The following is a 20,503-nucleotide window of genomic DNA, read 5'->3' on the forward strand; positions in this document are numbered from 1 at the left end:
AAGCTTATACATGAACAGAATGTCTGGCAACAACATGTTTGTCTAGCGGAGAGGTGGTGCAGCTGGGATGTCCAGCACATAGGAGGATGTGAGGACTTTCTATGAGCTGTGAAGGCATGGATAGTTTAAAGAAGTCAATTTCCTGGCCCCCAACTTCTATAAGTCTCCTTTCTTAAAACTGATTTGCTTCAAAACTGACGTTGCCACGTCTCCTTTTCCACCGCACCTTTAACTGTCACTCTGCTCCTACTTGTCAGAGAAAACCACACCTGTTACCCACCTGTGTCTTACAGTAGTGTGTTGTCCTGGGGTACAGAGATCTTGTTCCACCCACAAAGAACTATGAACATACTAGTGTCCATACTGGTAAAGGGAGTGATTATAAGGACCGGGAAACATATCATTTTTCAAGTTATGTAGTTTTAACTTCTTGGCTTTCAGCAATATTGAAGGAGCTATAAGATGATAGATGAAAATATGTTTTTGATGATGTCTCCTTCATTCCCTTATTATTTATGTAAACAAGGTGTCTTACTGCTTACAACTATAAAGGTAAAAAAGAATTGATATGGAATTGGTGCTAAATTCTACCTTATTATATAGCAACAGAAAATACTTCTTCATAGGCATATGAACTAACTGGGAGAAATATAAACAAACTCCATTTCTGTAGAAATGTATTTTTAATAAAAGTGTATTTTCCATGCTAACCATATTGACATTTTGATAAATAATTATTAATGTTCTTTGGACCAATTTTGTGCATTAGTAATGATTGCTTACAATTGAACATTTTAAAGCCTTATGGTTACAGGAAATATTTTAAAAATTACTTTAAACATACTTTATCTTAACAGAGAAGTATAGTAGGGAGGTTAATAAAAGCCTTTCTAGCATTAAAATATATTGGAGAAAAATGTTTGGGGAAAATGGAATGGAAATACAATAAGTTCAAGGAGAAAAATAACAATACAGCATTATTTTACTGTTAAAGAAGAGTTCACCTTTTTTTTTGATGGATGAAGGTGTTTTTCAACTTGCTGTCGTATTCACAAGATACATTTCAAAAGTGATATGTTTTAATTAAAAATTTTAATAATTCAAGTATTCCAGAATTACAGCCTTCACAATTAAAATTATGATGAAAAAATTTGAATGCTAACTTAAAGTACGAGAAAAACAGAATCTTAACATTTTCTTAGTGACTACATAAGTAAAAGAGTTTGATAAACTCTGCTCTAAAGGTTGTTTCCTCATCCAAAGTGTTGTTTAACTTAGCAGTGAGGTTTTCTGTGGTTCTGGGTTTGTGATAAAAGGTATGTGGTTCAGTGTGAGGAGCAACAGAAGAGGTTTCTGCTCCACTGGCTGGGAATGTTTAAAATTGTTGGGCGCATACATATATTTAGAATTGTTATAGTCTCTTGCTTAATTGATCCCTTTATCATTATATAATGACCTTCTTTGTCTAGTGTTCATGTGTATGTGTGTGGCTAGAAGAGCTGGAGAGAATATGGTTTCAATGTGTCCAAGGACATATTTTTGGTTCTCCTTTTACTCATTTGGCTTTATTTTATTCAACGATCTTTTGCTTTACCCCAGAGCCAGCTACCTATCTTGTGCACCTACAGGAGCTGTTCACAACATTGGTGGGAGGGGTGCCAGATGAGAGACTATGGATGAATATACGCATATGTACATGTCTTTACATATTTTCACCATTATTAGAAATTCAACTCAGAGTATTTCCCCTAATGACAAAGATTATCCTAATGTACAAAGATACATCATCTTACTATTCAAAAGAATGGACATTATTATGTTTCAGATGCACAATGAGATCTATCAAGCATTCTTGTACAGAGAATTGAACCATATGAATGAGACACAGCAGATGTGAGCCTTGCATTCAAAGGTGTTTTTTTAAAAACAATTTGGAAGGAAGAGAATGAAGATATACAAAACAGAAAACATTGTGATGTGGTAGCAAATGTAAATTTATTATAGACTTTTATACATTTAAGGAGGTTTCAGTTTGTGATTCACAATAGTGGGGAACTTCTCAAAGCCTCTTCTAAGATACAAGAAGAAGCCATAATTAGAGCAGAAAAGAGATTGAATCAATACTAGTCTGATTTACTATTCCATGTTATCATTAGGGAAATGATATAAAGAGGAGACATACAGTAATGGGCTTTTCCCCCTGTGTTGTAAATCAGTCCTTCTTTAATCCTTTGATTCCTCTTCCAGGCACTTTAAACCAGGAGAGCATTTACTCTGTTAAATCATTATGTTTAACATGGCATCCTTCTATTTGAGCATCTGCTAAAAAAAAAAAAAAAAAAAAAAAAAAAAAAAAAAAAAATCCAGGCACTGTAAATATTTGTCTGCTCATTGAGGAGAATTTGGATATGTTATTTTTTCTTCCATTATGCTTACATTTAATATATGGGAAAGAAACCAAGTTTATAAACTATCTCTTGCATTCTTCTGATTTTGAATTCAGATTTAGTTTTCATTTCTGTTACATAATCACCTCCAGGTGATTATTTGCAGATTTTTAAAATTGTTTGTTTTGGAAAGGGCTACAGGGATCATTCATAATCTTGAATACCTTTGCTCTGCTTTTTCCTATTTTTTTCTTTTGCCACTTATTTGTTAATTTCATGTTAAATATAGTCCCATTCTCATAATTACTAATATTGTTTTGGTCAGTTGTGTACGTTAGTAGTGGTAGCTTAAATCAGAAGAACCCTTGAAGAGCCTGTGTTGAAATTGAATCCTTGAGAGACCTATGTTGTATTATTTTTCCTTTTGCCATTGATTGCTCTAAGGACTTTTGAATGATTTAAGTGACTGGTGACTGGATTCAGTTATGCATAAAGCATTCTAAGAGAGATATTGATGATCAAACATATTAGATGGAATTAAGGAGGTCAAGAGACATTACTTATTTGTGCTCAAGGCTCTGTCACTGATGAAATGCTCACTCTTATTGTTGATGTGGTGAGCAACAAGGGTAGGAATTAATGCAGAGCCTATTGATATTCAATGCCAGGGAGGGAGGCAGGTCCAGGGAATATGTACTATGGAATATTTCATGACTTTATTAGTGGCTAGTCATGTGAAAATCTTTCCACCTTCCTGCCCTTAGTCTTGCTTTTGATTTGGGGGTGAGTTTTAAGGGTCCTTATCTTCCTCCATGAGGAGACTGCACCCTTGCTATCTTTGCTTCTCTTTTCCCTTTTCTTAAACTTCAAGGTCTCCTTACATGCATCTTTGCAGGGTTGAATAAATCTATGAATTAGTGGGCTACTCAGGTATCCCTACACCGAAGAAGCCATCGATAGCTCAGGTTATGTCTTAGATTAGAATCATCCTCCCCATGTCCTTTTTGCTTCATAAGCAAAAGCCCACTCAGGATGTTCCCTAATAGTGACAGATTTGGTGAAAAATATGACCAAGTACAGTTGCCACTGATAGTCACTGATTCCATCATAGCTATCCACTGGTTTTTCAACCAAGTAATATCATAAGACTTGGAGGCTACCGATCAAGAACAATTAGAATATTCTGCAGTTGTTGAGTAGAATATTGTGTAAATGTCTGTTAGGTCCATTTGGCTTAAAGTCCAACTTAAGTCCAATGTCTCTTTGTTGATTTTCTGTCCTGACAACGTGTCTAATGCTGTGAGTGGGATGTTGAAGTCCCCTACTATTATTGTATTGGTGTCTATCTCTTTCTTTAGGTCCAGTAATATTTGTTTTATGAATCTGGGTGCTCCAGTGTTGGGTACATATATATTAAAATTGTTATAGTCTCTTGTTGAATTGATCCCTTTATCATTATATAATGACCTTCTTTGTCTTTATTGTTTTTGATTTAAAGTCTGTTTTATCTGACATAAGTATAGTGATTCCTGCTTACTTTTGATTTCCGTTTGCATGGAATATCTTTTCCCACCTCTGTACTTTCAGTCTACACATGTCTCTACAAGTAAAGTGAGTTTCTTATAAGCAGCGTATAGTTGGTAGTTGGATTTTTTTTTTTTTTTTTTTAGACGGAGTCTTGCTGTGTCACCCAGGCTGAAGTGCAGTGGTGCAATCTCAGCTCACTGCAACCTCCACCTCCTGAGTTCAAGTGATTCTCCTGCCTCAGCCTCCCAAATAGCTGGGACTACAGGCACAGCGCCACCACACCCGGCCAATTTTTGTGTTTTTAGTAGAGACGGAGTTTCACCATATTGGCCAGGCTGGTCTCGAATGCCTGACCTCGTGATCCACCCGCCTCGGCCTCCCAAAGTGCTGGGATTACAGGCCTGAGCCACTGCACCCAGCCTAGTTGGATCTTTTTTAAATCCTTTATGACAATCTATATATTTTAAGTGGAGCATTTAATGCATTTACATTCAAGGTTAATATTGGTATGTGAGGTTTTGTTCCTGTCACGTTGTCATTTAGATTCTTTGTTTTTTTCTTTTTCTCTGTCTCTGTGGTTTGGTGGAATTCTCTCTTGTTGCCATTCATTCCTTTCTCTTCTCTTAATCCTTTGATTGCTTTATAAGACCTGTGAGCTTTTGTGTTTTCATAATGGTGAATATCAGCCTTTTATTTCCATGTTTAAGACTCCTTTGAGCATTGCTGGTAGGCCAGTCTAGGGATGATAAATTCTCTTAGCATTTGCTTGTCTGGGAAAGAATTTATTTCTCCTTCATTTATGAAGCTTATTCTTTCTGGATATAAAATTCTTGGTCGACATTTTCTTTTCTTTGTTTTTCAGCATTTTGAAAATGTCATTCAATTTTCTTCTATCTAAGAGGTTTCTGCTGAGAAATCCACTGTTAGTCTAATGGGGTTTTCTTTATAGGTGACTAGATGCTTTTCTCTTGCTGATTTTAAAATTCTTTCACTTTTACTTTATTTATTTATTTATTTATTTATTTATTTATTTATTTATATTTTTTTTGAGACACGGTCATGCTCTGTCACCCAGGCTGGAGTGCAGTGGAGCAATCTCAGCTCACTGCAACCTCTGCCTCCCAGATTCAAGCAATCCTCCCACCTCAGCCTCCCTGTAGCTAGGACTACAGGCATATGTCACCACACCCAGCTAATTTCTGTATTTTTTGTTTGTTTGTTTGTTTATTTGTTTGTTTTGGTAGAGATTGGGTTTCATCATGTTGCCCAGGCTGGTCTCAGACTCCTTGACTCAAGTGATTCACCTGCCTCAGCTTCCCAAAATGCTGGGATTACAGGCATGAGCTACTGCACCTGGCTCACTTTTACTTTAGACAGTCTAATTATAATATGCTGCAGTGAAGTCCTTTTTGCAATGCATTTTTCTGGGAATTGCTGGGCCTCCTGTATCTGGAGGATCTGTCCAAATTTCTTGCCAGACTTGGGAAATTTTCATCAATTATTTCCTTAAAGAGATCTTTGGTCTTTCTCTTCCCTCAGGAATACTGATAATTTGTAAGTTTGATTGCTTTATATAGTCCCAAATATCTCAAAGGCTTTGTTCATTCTTTTTTCCTTATATTTTGCCTCACTGTATTATTTCAAAAGACCTGCCTTCAAGTTCTGAGATTCCTTCTTCTGCTTGGTCTAGTCTATTACTGAAGCTTTTGAATATATTTTGTAATTCCTTCAATGAATTTTTCAGTTCCAGAATATTTTTAAGATGTCTATCTCCTTGGTAAATTTTTCATTCATATCATGAATTGATTTTCTGATTTCCTTATATTCGTTTTCAGATTTTTCTTGCATCTCATTGAGCGTGTTTAAAATAAATATTTTGAATTTTTTATCTGACATTTCAAGGATATCTTTTTGGTTAGGATTTATTGGCGGAGAATTACTGTGTTCTTTTGAGGGTGTCACATTACCTTACTTTTGTATGCTTCCTTTATCTTTGTGTTGATTTAAATGCATTTGGAGCAAGGGTAGCTTCCTCTTTCTGAATTTGTTTTTGTTGGGCAGGGGGACTTTTTCTCTCGAAGATGTGACTATGATGTTGGTCGGCTAGGGTTTTACTGAAGGCATTCCCTAATCCTCACCATTCTTATGTCCTAGGCCATCTCATATAATGAAATATAGCATACTTGTCATGGCTCCTCTTCCTTCCACATGCCAAAGCCAAGACCAAAACCACAGGTCTAGAGGTGTTTGAATAAGTAGCCCGATAGCTCCCCTGCATGTTGAGCACTAAAATGTTAGGGGAACATGTTCTGGGCTGCTCTCTTCATCAAAATTGCCCAGTGTGTGTCTTATAACATGCAGCCTTTCTCACTTCCTTATCCTACTTATCCTTGAAGACTGTGCTGAGATGTCCTGAAGTCCTTCCTTAATTTCCTAGGTAGAAATTATATTTCTCTCCCTTGTGTCCTCACCGTTCTTCTTACATAATCCTGTCGTGAAGCTCATCAACCACGTTGGCAGTTGTTTGCAGGTTCTATTCTCAGACCCTAGCCTCAAGGAGCTCATCTAGACAAATTACTCATCTTTGTATCTCTTATGTCAGTGCCTTATAAATGTTTGTGGGATGAAACTGCTTCTCCAGCTTTACATCACATGTCCCAGAAAGCCACTGCCTTCATCTCCTAGATTCTTAGAAAATGCAGTATTTGAAAGAATCTGTGCCAAAATGGAATCTCAGCTTTGGCAATAGGACTTCTAATATCTTACTGACTGAGAAGGTCGGTCTAAAGAGTATACCCAGAAGCCCAACACTCAATTCATTGACCTCAGCTAGTGTAGACTTAAATCCTGTGCCCTCTACTCAACTAAAGCCCTGCCCCACCTAATGTATATTAGATAAGGGGTGGGGGATGGTGGTGGTAGTAATCAGGACTCTGACCAATATTCTATGCCAAAGGATGCTAAAGATACAAAGTTTTCAGTTCTCAGTAGATTTCCATGAAAAGTCCTTGGCCACCCTGGAAGAGGCATACTGCCTGTCCTACCTCCACCTCCAACATGAATTTGACTTGGAGTATTTATGTTCTAAAGGACTGAAGAACCTCCACTCCTATCCTGTCCCAATTCAGGATTGTCTCTTTCTTCCTTCCAGGTCACTTGCAACAGTACTGGTCCAGATGAAATAAAACTGTCAAGGGAATCCTGGAGCTATTTTGTCAAAAGGCAGCCATTGGCAGCAAACCTCTTGTTGGCATTACTCAGTGCCCCTTTGGGAACAATCCCAGTGATTACCCTAGCCATAACCCAGCCATTTTGCTTACCTGCTCCATGATTTTTCAGAGCCAACCTCAGCCTAATTGCTTTCTCTTGCCAGTTGTACTTTCCAAAAAGATTCTAACAGCTTTTTTTTTTCCCATTTGTCTTTGTATGTGTCCCACCACCTCTCCTCCCTAGCTGACCCTCTGCCTGGCCCTTTGCTTCATTTTGCCTGCCTTGTCCAGACACTTCATTCAGTCTAGATAATGACATATTCCTCCTCGTCTTGACGTGGGGACCTACTGATTTTTCATGCAGGGTGTGAGCACATTCATCAGTGTTTATACTTGGAGAGAACCATCCATAACAGCTTCCCATTTCTCATATGGTTTTACTTTAATTGCCTTTATGCTGCATTGATCTATTTTAGTGCTTTAATTCTGTGCTATGAACCCTGGAGCGACTTCTGCAAGATATGCAAGTTTTTTTGGTTGTTTTGTTTGTTTTGTTTTTTAGAGACAGTCTCACTCTGTTGTTCAGGCTGGAGTGCAGGAGCACAATCATAGCTCATTGCACACTCAAACTCCTGGATTCAAGCAACCCTCCTGCCTCAGCCTCCCAAGTAGCTAGGACTACAGGTGTATGGCACCATGCCCAGTTAATTTTTTTAAAATTTTTTGTAGAGATGGAGTTTTGCTATGTTGCCCATGCTGATCTCAAATTCCTGGCTTCAAGCGATCCTCCCACCTTAGCCTCCCAAAGTGTTGGAGTTACAGGTGTGAACCACCAATGCCTATCAGTTTTTTGGCTTTAATGTGAAGAAAGAAACATATCTGCATCAACTGGGAAGAACTTTGTATGATTTAACATGATGAGGACAGCAAATACCCCAATAGCTGTTTTTGGCACACAGTTTGATTCTCATCAGTATTTTTCCTGCCTTTCTTACGTCATGGAGAAGTGTTGGACTCCCCTTGCTACCTCCCACTGCCATGGAGGAAGCAAAGGATGCTGGTGTAGAATTTGCAGTTCATGTTTTCAGCTTGTGCTAATGAATGGAGGATCTGAGCATACATGCTGGACAGGTACTTCACATTATTCTAGGTAGATTACAAACATCTGTGCTTCTCTTGGATGTAAACTCATCTCGAGTCTCCTTTTCTTGCCTTCTTCCTTTTCTCCCTACTATAGCTGACTTCTCTTTGCAGAGTCATACAAATGTAACTGAGTTTTGGCCCTGTTGAGTCAAACTCTGTTGAGTTTTGCTGGTTACCATAAAAAAAAAGGCGGGCAGGTTGGGGGAGCTTTAAGACACTTTGGTTAGTCCAAGCCTGGCTCATTTTCAGATTTAGCGAATTCTTTATCCCAGCAAGCTGTGAAAGGCAATGTGGGGAAGACATTGTCAGCCTTTCTGGGCTCAGTGGGAACCTTGTAAGTGAGCAAGGGCTTGTTCTAGAGGAGAACTGAACTTTTCTAGCTTCCTGAGATCAGGCTTGCCATAAACAGGTGACCAGAAAAATCTGTTTGCAAGGAGAGAGTGGCACATGGACTAGCGTTTAGCAGTGGAGGTTGCTGAAATCTGTGTTAGAAATCAAGGTGCTCTGAAGATCTAGTTTCTCTTTTTCCTTTCCCTGCTGCCATAGAAGACAAAGAATATTCTTGTCTCCTTTTAACATAGTATAAGTGATAATACCATTCTATTTCCTAACTTACAACCAGCTGCGTCTGTGGGCTATCTGCCAGTTGTAAGCCAGTCCTAATGGTTTCCATGTTCTATTCCCATTAATAAGGAAGACCTACAATTAGCTCTCCATTACAAGGCCTGTCCTTGTTAATAGCTCTGACCTAAAAGCACTTTTTAAGTGATGCAGTCATCACTTAAAGAAGTCACCACTTAAAAAATGAGTGCATAAGTCACCCAAGTTAGTGTGTAGGGGATGTTGACTTGAGTGATATTTTAGGATGTGCACGAATTATTAATCTTCAGAAACAAGCCATGGCCACTCATCCTCTCTTTATGACCAATAGTTGATGACTTTATAACTCTGGGCTTTAAACATAAATCCACTGAAAAAAATAACAATCCAATTATGAATTTTTGTTTCTTAGGCTTCTTCATTCCTTTTTGTTTTGTTTTGTTTTTGAGACAGAGTCTCACTCACTCTGTCACTCAGGCTGGAGTACAGTGGTGTGATTTGGGCTCACTGCAACCTCTGTCTCCCGGGTTCAAGCAATTCTCCTGCCTTGGCCTCCAGAGTAGCTGGAGTTACAGGCATCCACCACCATGCCCAGCTAATTTTTGTGTTTTTAGTAGAGACCGGGTTTTACCGTGTTGGCCAGGCTGGTTTCGAACTCCTGGCCTCAAGTGATCCTCCCATCTTGGCCTCCCAAAGTGCTGGGATTATGTGTGAGCCACTGCATCCAGCCTCTTCATCCCTTTTGAATGGAATGAAGGTAGGATTTTTGCTGTGTGCATTATTCTGTGAATTGTTTTCATCATTAAACTGTGCCTTTAAGGCAATTTAGTCCCAAATTTCCTGCTTTCGTTTCAAACTGTGCCTCTGAGAAATTGTTTATATTGATGGATTTTAAAAATGGATCCCAAATGATGGATAGGGACCCGAGCTCATCAATTTAGTGATGTCAGTAGCTCCATAGAGTTATTTACATCTTTCTTTTTCACCCTGTAGGACTTTTCTTCTGGGAGAAGGGTGGGTGCAGACTAGAATCATGTGTTGTTTTCTTGGAAACCTTTGTTTCCAAGTGCTGGTCCCACTTAATCTTGACAGCACTCCTGTGTGAGACAGTGGACACACTGAGGTTGGAGGGGCTATGTAGCTGGCCAAGCTCCTTGAGCCAGTCCAGGGCAGAGCCAGGGCTGCTGGACTCCAAAAATCACCTTCCTAACTCACTATGGGGTATTAGCTCTCCAATTATTTGACTTAATACAGAAGATTTTTTATTATTATTTGCAATTTATGGGAAGAGCTGAGATATATACAATTAAATTTTGTGCAGTAAATCACTTGATGAAGCACCATTGTTGAAAAAACCTCCTAGAAAACCTGCTATATTTCGCCATTGCCCACTCACAAGTGCAACTTACCAATAAAGGATTATGGATTAGACCACCTTGTATCAAAACAGCTTCAAATGCAATTTCCAAGGAGCCAGTGCTTTTAAAAGACAGTTGTCCTATATTCAGACTGAGGGGAGTGTCATGAATTATTAGAGCTATTAAGATTAGCACGTATACCTAGCTTTGCCAGGAAATGACTTAAATTGACTTTACCTCTCTCTAAGGAAGAAGGAAACTTTAAGATAAAAGAGACTCTAGTCTGGAATTGATGTGAATACCCACTGGGGAAACCTGAGTAATTATGTAATTAAATAACTAACTCTTACCTCTCCACCTTCTGCTAACTTGACCAAGGGAAGAGGCTAGGTAACAATTGATATGGTTTTTTAATGAGGGTTAAGGTGAGCAAAACTGAAGAATTACTGAGAGAAGATTTAGGATAGGGCTCATTTTTAGGCCTAAAGGAATCCTTCTAGAATATTTTAAGTGAGAGCAGACCTATGCTAATTTTCAGTTTAATGAACTCCAGAGAGAATTGTTCTATGTAAAATAATGGGTTTTTTTTCCTGAAACTATAACTGCCCCATGGTGTGCTTTATTTTATAAATCCTATTTTGTTTTTCTGTATTTACCAGCTGGGAGAAAAACCTTCAAAAACAAAAGGGGTTTTGTAAGCTTATTTCAGAGGCTGTTGGTAGGACAGAAGCCAGGAAACTGGGTCCAGCTGTGCTTGGGGGTTGGGAGAAGGAGAGATCCCGTGACTGGGAAGGGCAGAGGGAGAGGGCTGAACACAGAGGACACCCAGGACTGAGCAGGTGGGAGGGCTGCTGGATTTACCCCCAACTCTGAAATAAAGCTGTATGTGGAAGACAAGGCCAGCAACACGACCTTTGCTGAAAATGGGGAGGGTAGCATTCATGCATTTCAGAGGTAGTAAAAATAAAGATGTAATTTAAAGTCAACAGGAGGATTTGATTAAGAAAGAAAACAATTGTTAAAGGTGTGCATGCCCAGGCATTCAGTACAGAGGATGTTTTTATGAATGTTTGCTTGAGATGATTGCCTCGCTGTGTTCAGTTCTACATGTTAACGTCTGTATCGGAGGGGTCTGGAGAGAGTGATGCAGAGTGGGAAGACAGGGTGGGGACTGGGCTCATGTGGATCAGGCAGTTGGGAAGGGGGAGCAGGTGGCCTGGGTTTGGAGTCAGAGCCAAACACACAGCATGGTGCATGCCGGAAATGCAATGAGGAACAGGACACAAGCTCTCTTCTCTCAAAGAGCTTGTCATTTGCTGAAGGGAAAGCAAATAGATCATCATAATACAGATGCAAGTCCTGGTTCTCCTACATATGCCTTTTGGGACCTCGAGCTGGTCATTTTGCCTGTCAGTTTCCGTAAATGGAGATGGAAACGGGAAGGTAGGGAGGTGCCTCTGTTTCCCCAGTGTGACAGGTCTGAAGAGATCCCATTGCAGGCCACAGAAGTGGCCTCAACCTCCCCTGTGAGTGCTCAGCATGTGTCCACGCTGGGTCTGTCCAGAGGAGGGCATTGCCCCTTTGTATCTCCCCCATATTGGGGCAGAAGGGCAGCTTCCACCCACAGGGCTCGCTCTCAGAACCCTCTGTGCGTTACTGATGTGGACTGAGGCAGCACTTCTCAAACTCTTTGGTCTCAAGACCCTGTACATTTTTAAAAATTATCCCACATAGCTTCTATTTAAAATTTGGATTGTATCTATTTACCATATTAGAAACTAAAACAAAATTTTTAAAATTATTCATTAAAAATAATAGCAAACCCATTTGATGTTAATATAAATGATATAATTTTAATGAAAAATAACTACTTTTATTATACTTCTACCATCCTCATAGCTGTGGAATTAATATTCCCCCAAACAATGTAGTCCTTACTGGGTTCTTATGAAGATTACATAAGATGTAATCTTCATAAGACAGCAGTTTGCAGAATGTACAACAAATGAATTAACATTCACAACAAGTGAATGAAATGTCACTAGTAAACAGGCTTGCAGTTTTCTGGCAGTTTGCAGTGTGATTAAGGTTTCCCCGCTCCTGTGCTGGGTTTCAAAGTGTGATGTTAGATAGGAAAACAAGGGTACCGGGAAGAAAGGGCAGATGAGACTATGGATTTAAGTAGCATTATTTCCTCGTCCTGTGAATATAAAAGGGCCCAGCTTGTCCTTGGGAATTATAAACAAATCTGCCTGAGCAGGCAAGATTTGGTAAACTTGACTATGGCAGTCTTAAGTGTTCTTTAAAATAAATTCTGGTGTCTGAAATAAGAGAATTGGAATCTAATGTTGCTCTATCAGTGTGTTCTGTTTCCATTTTTACTTACAGACTTAAAGAAATTTCTTTGAGCTGGCCTCTCTCATGGCAGTCCATGGATGAGGGTGGCTGTTGATGGAGCTATGGGTGGGACGGAGGACATCACATTTCCAGTAGTACTGCAACACATACTTACCTGAAGATGATGCTTTGGTTTTGTTTTTAACCAGAAAATACACAAGGGTATTCTTAGTTTAGGGGGTAATTATTTGCATTTGTAAATTCTCTAGGCCTTCCATTATTTTCCAATGGAGAAACCATTGCTTGCCTACCCAACATCCAACTGCTCCTTATCCTCAATGAACCTGACTAGGTATAGGATCTGCTCTTATTATCAGCCCTGTGCTTCCAAGGAGGCTGGCCACGGGCTTGCCCTGCATCAGAATATGAGAGGGGTACCCTCTCAGTCTTGTGAAAGTGAAGTTCTTTCTTCCTCCAAAACGTTTCACCTTCAAATGATGCTTGGAGCAGCTATAGCTGTTTGCAGCTGTGAAAGGAGCCAGCCAGGGAATGAAGCTGACACATGGTGGATCTGAAGAAAGATAGAAAGGGCCTCCTGGCTGTGTTAAGGGGGCACTGAATCACCTGAACCTGGAGCTAATCTGCCTCCTTGTTTAGGACACGGAGGGAATTGGACTTTGTTACTTGCAGCTGAACGCACCCTAACTGATGCACCCTCCCTAAAGGAATGATCATGACCCGTAGGGATCCAGAGAAGGGAGGATAGCCCCGGCATGTGCAGCTGCCATAACCAATCTGAAGAGCTGCTGGTAGGATTCTTTTCTTCATGTCTGGCTGTCTTTTGACCATTTTGTTGTCCTGTTATTTTGTAAGATAAATAGTTGAAGTTTTAAATTAAATGGTTGGTAACTTTGATAAAATATGGAGGAGAGCTGAGACATCTGTGGTGTTTACAAGGTATGGGACCTTAGAGGTAGGGCTTTGGGTTTCTTTCCACCCCTTGAGCATGCAGATGCATATTAGAGCCTCGACCTTTCTCCATAAATTACTGATTTACTTGTAGAATCTCCCATCCAGACCTTGAACTCCATCATCCTTATACCCATGGCTGCTGGTGCTACATGAGTGACCCCCAGTAATGAGAGTTACCAATTATGGCGTATTGTTCTATGCCAGGAATTATACTAATGGCTTGGCATGCATTGTCTTATCGTTTACAACAAGTACAATAGGTACGAACATAATCTGCATTCTAATGATAAGGGCACTGAGGCTTGAGTGATAAAATCACTTGCTTGAGGTCCCACAGCTAATAGATGATAGAGGTTCAAATATAGGTCTGACTCGAAAATTGTTTTTAATTATTCTGTTTCTTCAATGCATATTTGTTGAATATCTGTCGTTTAGATGTGTTAGAATGGGAATTGTTGTTCCTATTGATTGCAGCTTTCACCCTTGGGAAATGTACTGGGACAGAAGACACATATGCCACTACCTGAATATTGGCTCTTCTCTGGAAATAGGCCTTAGTGGAGTATGTGACTTACAAATACATTCAGTGGTCAGTAAGGGAAAGCCTAACTAGCAGTGGTTTAAATGAGATGGGGCTATTTTCCTCATGTAACAGGCTGTCTGGAGGTCGGCTTTCAGCACTGATATCTCCAGGATTCTCTTGGCCTTCCATTATATGTGACTCTTCATGCACAAAATGGCTGTTGCAGCTTCAGATCTCACATCCCCATCCAGAAAGAAGTCAAAGACAAAAGGCAGAAGGGCACAGCCAACTAAGCAGGTCTGGTCCTTTTTGTCGGTAAAGCAAAAGTTTTCCAGGGTTACACGGGAGGCAGGAGAAGTGGAAAACAGGATTGTTGGGAAAGGCTCACGCCAGTCCTGATCTACTACTTGGAGCTGACCATGCTGTTGGGCAAAATAAAGTTAGACTCTTGTCACTGAGGAGAAGGCTGCTCACACTGTCAGCCACACATCTGAAAGTGGAGGCTGTTAGAATTTGAAGAGGTGCTGGAGATATCCCCGTCCCGCAAGCAAAACAACTGAGACTTGTAGGGAACACAAGTGTCTGAGCCAGGATAAAAGAAAAGGGCCTGTTTCCTTAGACTCTGCTGCTCTTCTCACTGCACTGTCCCTTTCAAAGCTTTTACATATCTCCTCCACGAGTTATTCCTCTCATCCTTTTTCTTTTTTTTTTTTTTTTTTTTTTTTTTTTTTGAGACAGAGTTTCACTCTTGTTGCCCAGGCAGGAGTGCAATGGTGCGATCTTGGCTCACTGCAACCTCCACCTCCTGGGTTCAAGAGATTCTCCTGCCTCAGCCTCCTGAGTAGCTGGGATTACAGGCATGCGCCACCACACCCAGCTAATGTTGTATTTTTCGTAGAGATAGGGTTTCTCCATGTTGATCAGGTTGGTCTCGAATTCCTGACCTCAGGTGATCCACCTGCCTCGGCCTCCCAAAATGCTGGGATTACAGGCATGAGCCACAGCTCCCGGCCCTCTCATCCTTTTGAAGGAGGCTGGGAAAGTCAAACTTCCTAGAGCCTTGTGGATAGAAACAAAGCTTTGGAGAAAGCCAAGTAGCATGCCCAGGATTATCCCCTCTGTTTGTTCAGAGCTAAACAGTGGGAGGGAGTTGGACCAGAGTCCTTTTCACAGACCCCATTGTCCTTCATGATACTGTGACCTCCCTTTATGGTCTTTCTCCTTAGCCTGGAGCAGTGAGGCTCCTTGCTCAGACACCCTGGGCTTTCAGGTGGGTAGGCATAGCTGCCTTGACATCCCAGCAAGGAAGGCTCCGGCTCTCAAGGGACAATTGGGTAGCGCCCAGCCTGCATAAGAATATTGGGTCCATGTGTGTGCCTGGGGAGGGGAGAATGCCACCTGGTATGGCCATGAAGAGTGGTGATGCCCCATAAACTTGAGTCCAAATGTTTCTCTCCCAGGTTGGTTTGACCCTGTCTTTCAGTGCAGTTCCTGGTTCAGTCCTCTGTGGCATGTTTCTGCCTTCCCAGGCTGGGACAGAGAGTGCCTTGGTGCTTTCCCACATATTGGGAGAAACACTGTAGCCCACCTCAGCATCCACCTGATGTGAACAGTGTGTCAAGTCACCCTACTAAAAAGGCATCGGGTGGAGCCAGCAGTATGTGTAGGTGGGGGAGTCAAGCACTCTTAATTTTCCTCAACTTAGGAACCTCTCCCAATTATACTAGGATAGGAAATGAGTGTGTGTGGGGGGGTTTAATCTAGGGAAAGGAAAAACACCTGTCTTGAGCTAAAGGCGACTACATGATAAGCTTTTGCTATAAAATAATAGAGTAGGATATAGTGTTTATAATACTTGAGTATTTGTTTATTGAGAAATTCCCTTTTTCTCCATGTGAACATCTTTATCAGCCTCCAGGATCCTAGCTGGTTTTCGCAGATTTTTGTGGGCACCCATATGTGTACTTTTGCAAGCTTACTAAGTCTCTATCTGGATGCAGGGCATTTACAACCACTCCTGCTGCAAATGACAGTGCTGTATGTGCTCTTTGTGGTCTCTGGTAGATATGAATGGCGAGAATAATCATGTCAGGCAGACTTAGGTTCCCCCCCTCCGGTAATGAGGATCTGTCCTGTCCTCCACAGTCACTTTGTCATGCCCTCGGCTGGGATAGTTGTCAGGCAGCTTTTACTGTCTTAGTTTGACTGTCTTTTGCTCTTGAATCATTGCACTAAGAGAACAATCTGCTACTGTTTTCTGTCTTCAGTGTGTTAAAAAAAAAATACTGGGCATATTTGTTTTTCTTCCAGCACATGTCTCGTTTGGAAAGGTCATGCATTTATATGGTAGACTTGCTATTACCCTGACTGCAGTAAAGCAGCCAATTGCCAATGTATTGCTATACATACAGCTGCCTTCGGGGTGACTAGGCTATAAGGCAGTTACAGACAGGCTGAAGGGCACCTGTTGTGCCCACACACAAACCCAACCTTTAACACAACATTTATCCTGAGAAACAGTCTTGTCTTCACATCACATAGTGCCAGACCTGAGGCTACTTGTTGGGCAGGTTAATGCAGATCTTAGTCAGCTGACCTGCAGGCTGGAAGAGGGAGGTATAGGGTCTGTGATATGTTTAAAGCAGGCAGCTAGTAAGGAACCAGCCCAACCTTTTTGGCTCCTGCCCAAGGCCTATTTTTAAAGAGTGCTTGCAGTACAGGATCGATGGGGATGTTCAGTAGTTGAAATACCACAAACATATTACTGCTGGGAGAAGTTGCTGTTTATGGGAAAATAAAATTTTACCTCATTGTTCTCTGCGTGATGCTTGTTGCCAAAATGAATTACTTAAGGGGAGTTATTTCATACATGGATGCATGAAAGTGATGTTCGATGCCTATGGAGAAGGTACTGCAAAGCTTTTAGCAGAGGACAGGAGCTGTAACTTCAGAAGGTAAAAAGGTTTCAGTCTGACCTAGGGAAACACCTGTTTTAAATGATTTAGAAAGTAAGAGAATACACAACTGACACACTTGTGAAAAAAGGTAATGTCAGGGCGTGAACTGAGTATGTTCTCAGTGTAGAAAATTCAAAAGCCTAGGAAACATAAGTATTGACACATCATGTCACTTGAACCATGCGGAAGGTTTTACGACATCCCTACTTTATAGAGAGGAGACTGAGGCTTTGTGAGGATAACTTGCCCAGGATTACCCAGTAACAACTGTTAAAATCTAAACTCTAACCTGTGACTGCTGGGTGCAAAAGTCATATGACCTAAAGATGAATCTTAATATTTGGTTTATTTTCTTCTGAGAGTATACAATGAAATTAGGATATATAGTATGTAATATTTTGAAGCTTGCGATTTTCACTTAGTATATCAAACACGTTTTTCCAATGTCGTTAAGTGTTCTTTAAAAACATTTTAAGGCCATTAAAATTCCATCAAATTGATGCGCCATGGCAGGAAGGAAAGTCGTTTTACTGTCTCCTTTATTATAGGAATGATTTTAACAATTGGTCAAAAATTAACATGAAATGCTAGATATCTTCTCCTCTTTGAAGCTTTGGTCTCAGTTTTTAAAATGTATATGGTCAGGAATGGTGACTCATGCCTGTAATCTCAGCACTTTAGGAGGCCGAGGAGGGAGGATCGCTTGAGCCCAGGGGTTCAAGACCAGCTGGGCAACATTGCAAAAATCCCGTCTCTACAAACAACTTTTTAAAAAATTAGCCAGCCATGGTGGCACATCCCTGTAGTCTCAGGTACCTGGGAGACTGAGGTGGGAGGATCACTTGAGCCTGGGAGGTTGAGGCTGCAGTGAACCATGATTGAGCCACTGCACTCTAACCTGGGCAACAGGACAAGATTCTGTCTCAAAAAAAATAAAATAAAATAAAAATAAAAAGAGTAGCATGCCATCATGATACTAGAAAGGCAGTTCACTTGCTTGGTAGAGGATTTCGCAAGGATGTTTGTTGCTAGTTGATTGTGAACCAAGCAGGATAAACATGTTCCCCCACAGTTATTTAATGCTATTACTAAAACCACCCATATGTAACCAGCTACCATATCCTGTGTCATGGGGGTGGAGGAAGCACTAACCTTGCCAGGAGGGGCTCTGGGAATGCTAACAGGGCAAGCAGAAGTGTGGAGCAGGGTGGCATTTGGAAGGATGGATGGATGTGTCAAGTGGATATGAGCCGAGCATGTGTTTGATGAGCAGCGTGTGATTCTGAGCCTTAAATGGTACAGTTGATCTCAGAACCAGAGATGAAGCTTTGAGGTAGGGTCGTTGGCCTTGCCATGTATTTAAACTAGTCTGATGCTTAGCTTTTACTATATCTGAGGCTAAATTTAATGGTGTAATGCTGAAAGTTTTATCACTGTAGATAAAAAGTCAATAAAAGAGTGAAGGGTACAGATTTTTCTATCTTCTGGAGCCCACGTTCCTGCCCATTTTATAGCTGAGTGTGCGATTCGAACAGGAACAGTTCTCAGTGCTGTGTTTCCTGGGAAAAGTGGGGATTATTGCAGTGGTGCCATGTGCTGGGTGGTTTGTGTGAAGAACATAGGAAAACTGGAAGATTAAACCTTTTCAATACTTTGGCTAATCTGCAGGGATGCTGGTGCTTGTTTCCATGTTGTGGGGTTCTTTCTTTTTCCCCTTTAGTCTTTGTTCCCTGTGGTGGAGAGAGAACATGTTGCTATTTAAAGGGTGTAGGCTTTTGTGTCCTATAATCCTTATATTTGAGTCTGGACTCATCCATTTACCAACTGTATTCATGGATCCATGACTCCAGGAGCTTCATGTCTTGGACTGTGAAATGGACAGGATAATAGCCACTGCCCCAATTCCTGTGAGGATTAAATGAGCTAACTCACTGAGAAAGTTCCTAGCTCACTGAGAAAGTTCCTAGCTCACATCACTTCTCATCCTTTCCATGCCGCTTCCTCTTGAGCAAGTTTTTTCTAACTTTCACAGTAGAGTTAGGTTTCTAGTGGGAACTGATAATTCATAGTAGTTAGGTGACGTGGGACAAGTTACTTACCATCTCTGAGCCTGTCTGCCCATTGATAACATGGAAATAATTACATATCACATAGCGTGTTAATGATCAAATTAAATGAGATAATGTATACCAAGTCAGAATGCCTGGCACAGAGTGGGCAGTCAGTGACTGAAGGGTACTGGCACGAAATGGACATATCTTAGAAGGACAGCCTTCCTTCTGGCATCTTCCTGAGCATCACAGCCTCTTCTGGCTACTACTTCTTTGTCAGCATCATTAATTCTCTCTACTCGCTGGCTGTGGGGGTTTCTCAGAGCCCTATCCTTCTGTTCTGCACCTTGTACATTTCCTTGGAAGTTTCATCCACTTCCAAGTTTTCAGCTACTAGTTATAGATTGATAACTTCTAAATTTTTCCTTAGCTCCAGGTTAGTACGTCCAATTTGTTATGTATTAGCACTTAGATGCCCAAAGGCACTTTGAACTCAAAATATACAAAAATATAGCTGCTATCTTTCCCACTTACTTCCTCAAAACTGTTCTTTCAGGTAGTCTTCTCTACTTCGTTTGCATGCTGTCTGTAGGTTCTTTTTCCTTTTTTCCATTCCTGAATGCAGACACCTAAATGCACTTTCAGCGCTGGGTCCTTCTATTAGAGTGGAGCCCTTCCTCCAGGCTCTCATGCCTCTGGTTAATAATGATGACAACAATGAAGTTATCATAAGGCAACTGTGATAATCAGAAAGAGCACCATAATCACAAGCATTTGTTGAGCGTGTACAATGTGCTAGATACTGTCGGTGCTACGCTGAGTCCTAGGTGAGGCAGGACCCTGCCTTGGACCCGTGTTGTAGAGGCTTTATTTTCAGTCTCCTCAGGGCAATGGAAATGTTCCCACCCAAAGCCTGCCCTTTTCTCTCTGGGTACTGAAGACTTCAGAATTCCCTGCTCTGTCTGTGTTGAGCCTCTTTACAGAAATCAGCTGTCGGGGCCAGGCAAGGTGGTTCACGCCTGTAATCCTAGCACTTTGGGAGGTCGAGGCAGGTGGCTCACCTGAGGTCAGGAGTTCAAGACCAGCCTGGCTAACATGACGAAACATCGTCTACTAAAAATACAAAAATTTGCCAAGTATGATGGCAGGCACCTGTAATCCCAGCTACTTGGGAGGCTGAGGCAGGAGAATAGCTTGAACCCGGGAGGTGGAGGTTGCAGTGAGCCAAGATCGCACCATTGCACTCCAGCCTGGGCAACAGAGCAAAAACTCTGTCTCAAAAAAAAACTAACCAAACAAACTCAGCTATGAGGTCTCTTCCCTGGCTCTATCTTTCAGAAGGCAAATGGTGCCACAAGTGTGTGCATCCCTAGGCCTAAGGGCTGGCCATGAAGCAGTTAACTGCAGTGATTGTGGGTTGGGATTGGTCTGCAGGCTGA

The 20,503-nt window shown here is 41.1% G+C and overlaps 1 protein-coding gene across 2 annotated transcripts in view, besides 3 other annotated features; it reads left to right on the forward strand.

Annotated features, from left to right (window-relative positions):
- ARFGEF3 (ARFGEF family member 3) overlaps positions 1-20,503 on the forward strand; it is a 182,725-nt gene that overhangs the window by 10,207 nt on the left and 152,015 nt on the right. The window lies entirely within an intron of this gene.
- Positions 3,394-3,563: an enhancer, noted in NCBI's record as "experimental_90526 CRE fragment used in MPRA reporter constructs". NCBI's record gives its function as "activates a minimal promoter by MPRAs in K562 erythroleukemia cells, with activity observed for both the introgressed and non-introgressed 6:138496761 variant alleles {active_cell/tissue: K562}" and the evidence as "EXISTENCE:reporter gene assay evidence [ECO:0000049][PMID:34662402]".
- Positions 11,105-11,606: an enhancer, noted in NCBI's record as "H3K27ac hESC enhancer chr6:138504387-138504888 (GRCh37/hg19 assembly coordinates)". NCBI's record gives its function as "activates a minimal SCP1, AML or CMV promoter by ChIP-STARR-seq in naive H9 embryonic stem cells {active_cell/tissue: H9 hESC(naive)}" and the evidence as "EXISTENCE:reporter gene assay evidence [ECO:0000049][PMID:30033119]".
- Positions 11,607-12,106: an enhancer, noted in NCBI's record as "H3K27ac hESC enhancer chr6:138504889-138505388 (GRCh37/hg19 assembly coordinates)". NCBI's record gives its function as "activates a minimal SCP1, AML or CMV promoter by ChIP-STARR-seq in naive H9 embryonic stem cells {active_cell/tissue: H9 hESC(naive)}" and the evidence as "EXISTENCE:reporter gene assay evidence [ECO:0000049][PMID:30033119]".

The sequence above is a fragment of the Homo sapiens genome, chromosome 6 (assembly GCF_000001405.40).
Source record: "Homo sapiens chromosome 6, GRCh38.p14 Primary Assembly".
In the NCBI taxonomy this organism is placed as follows: domain Eukaryota; kingdom Metazoa; phylum Chordata; class Mammalia; order Primates; family Hominidae; genus Homo; species Homo sapiens.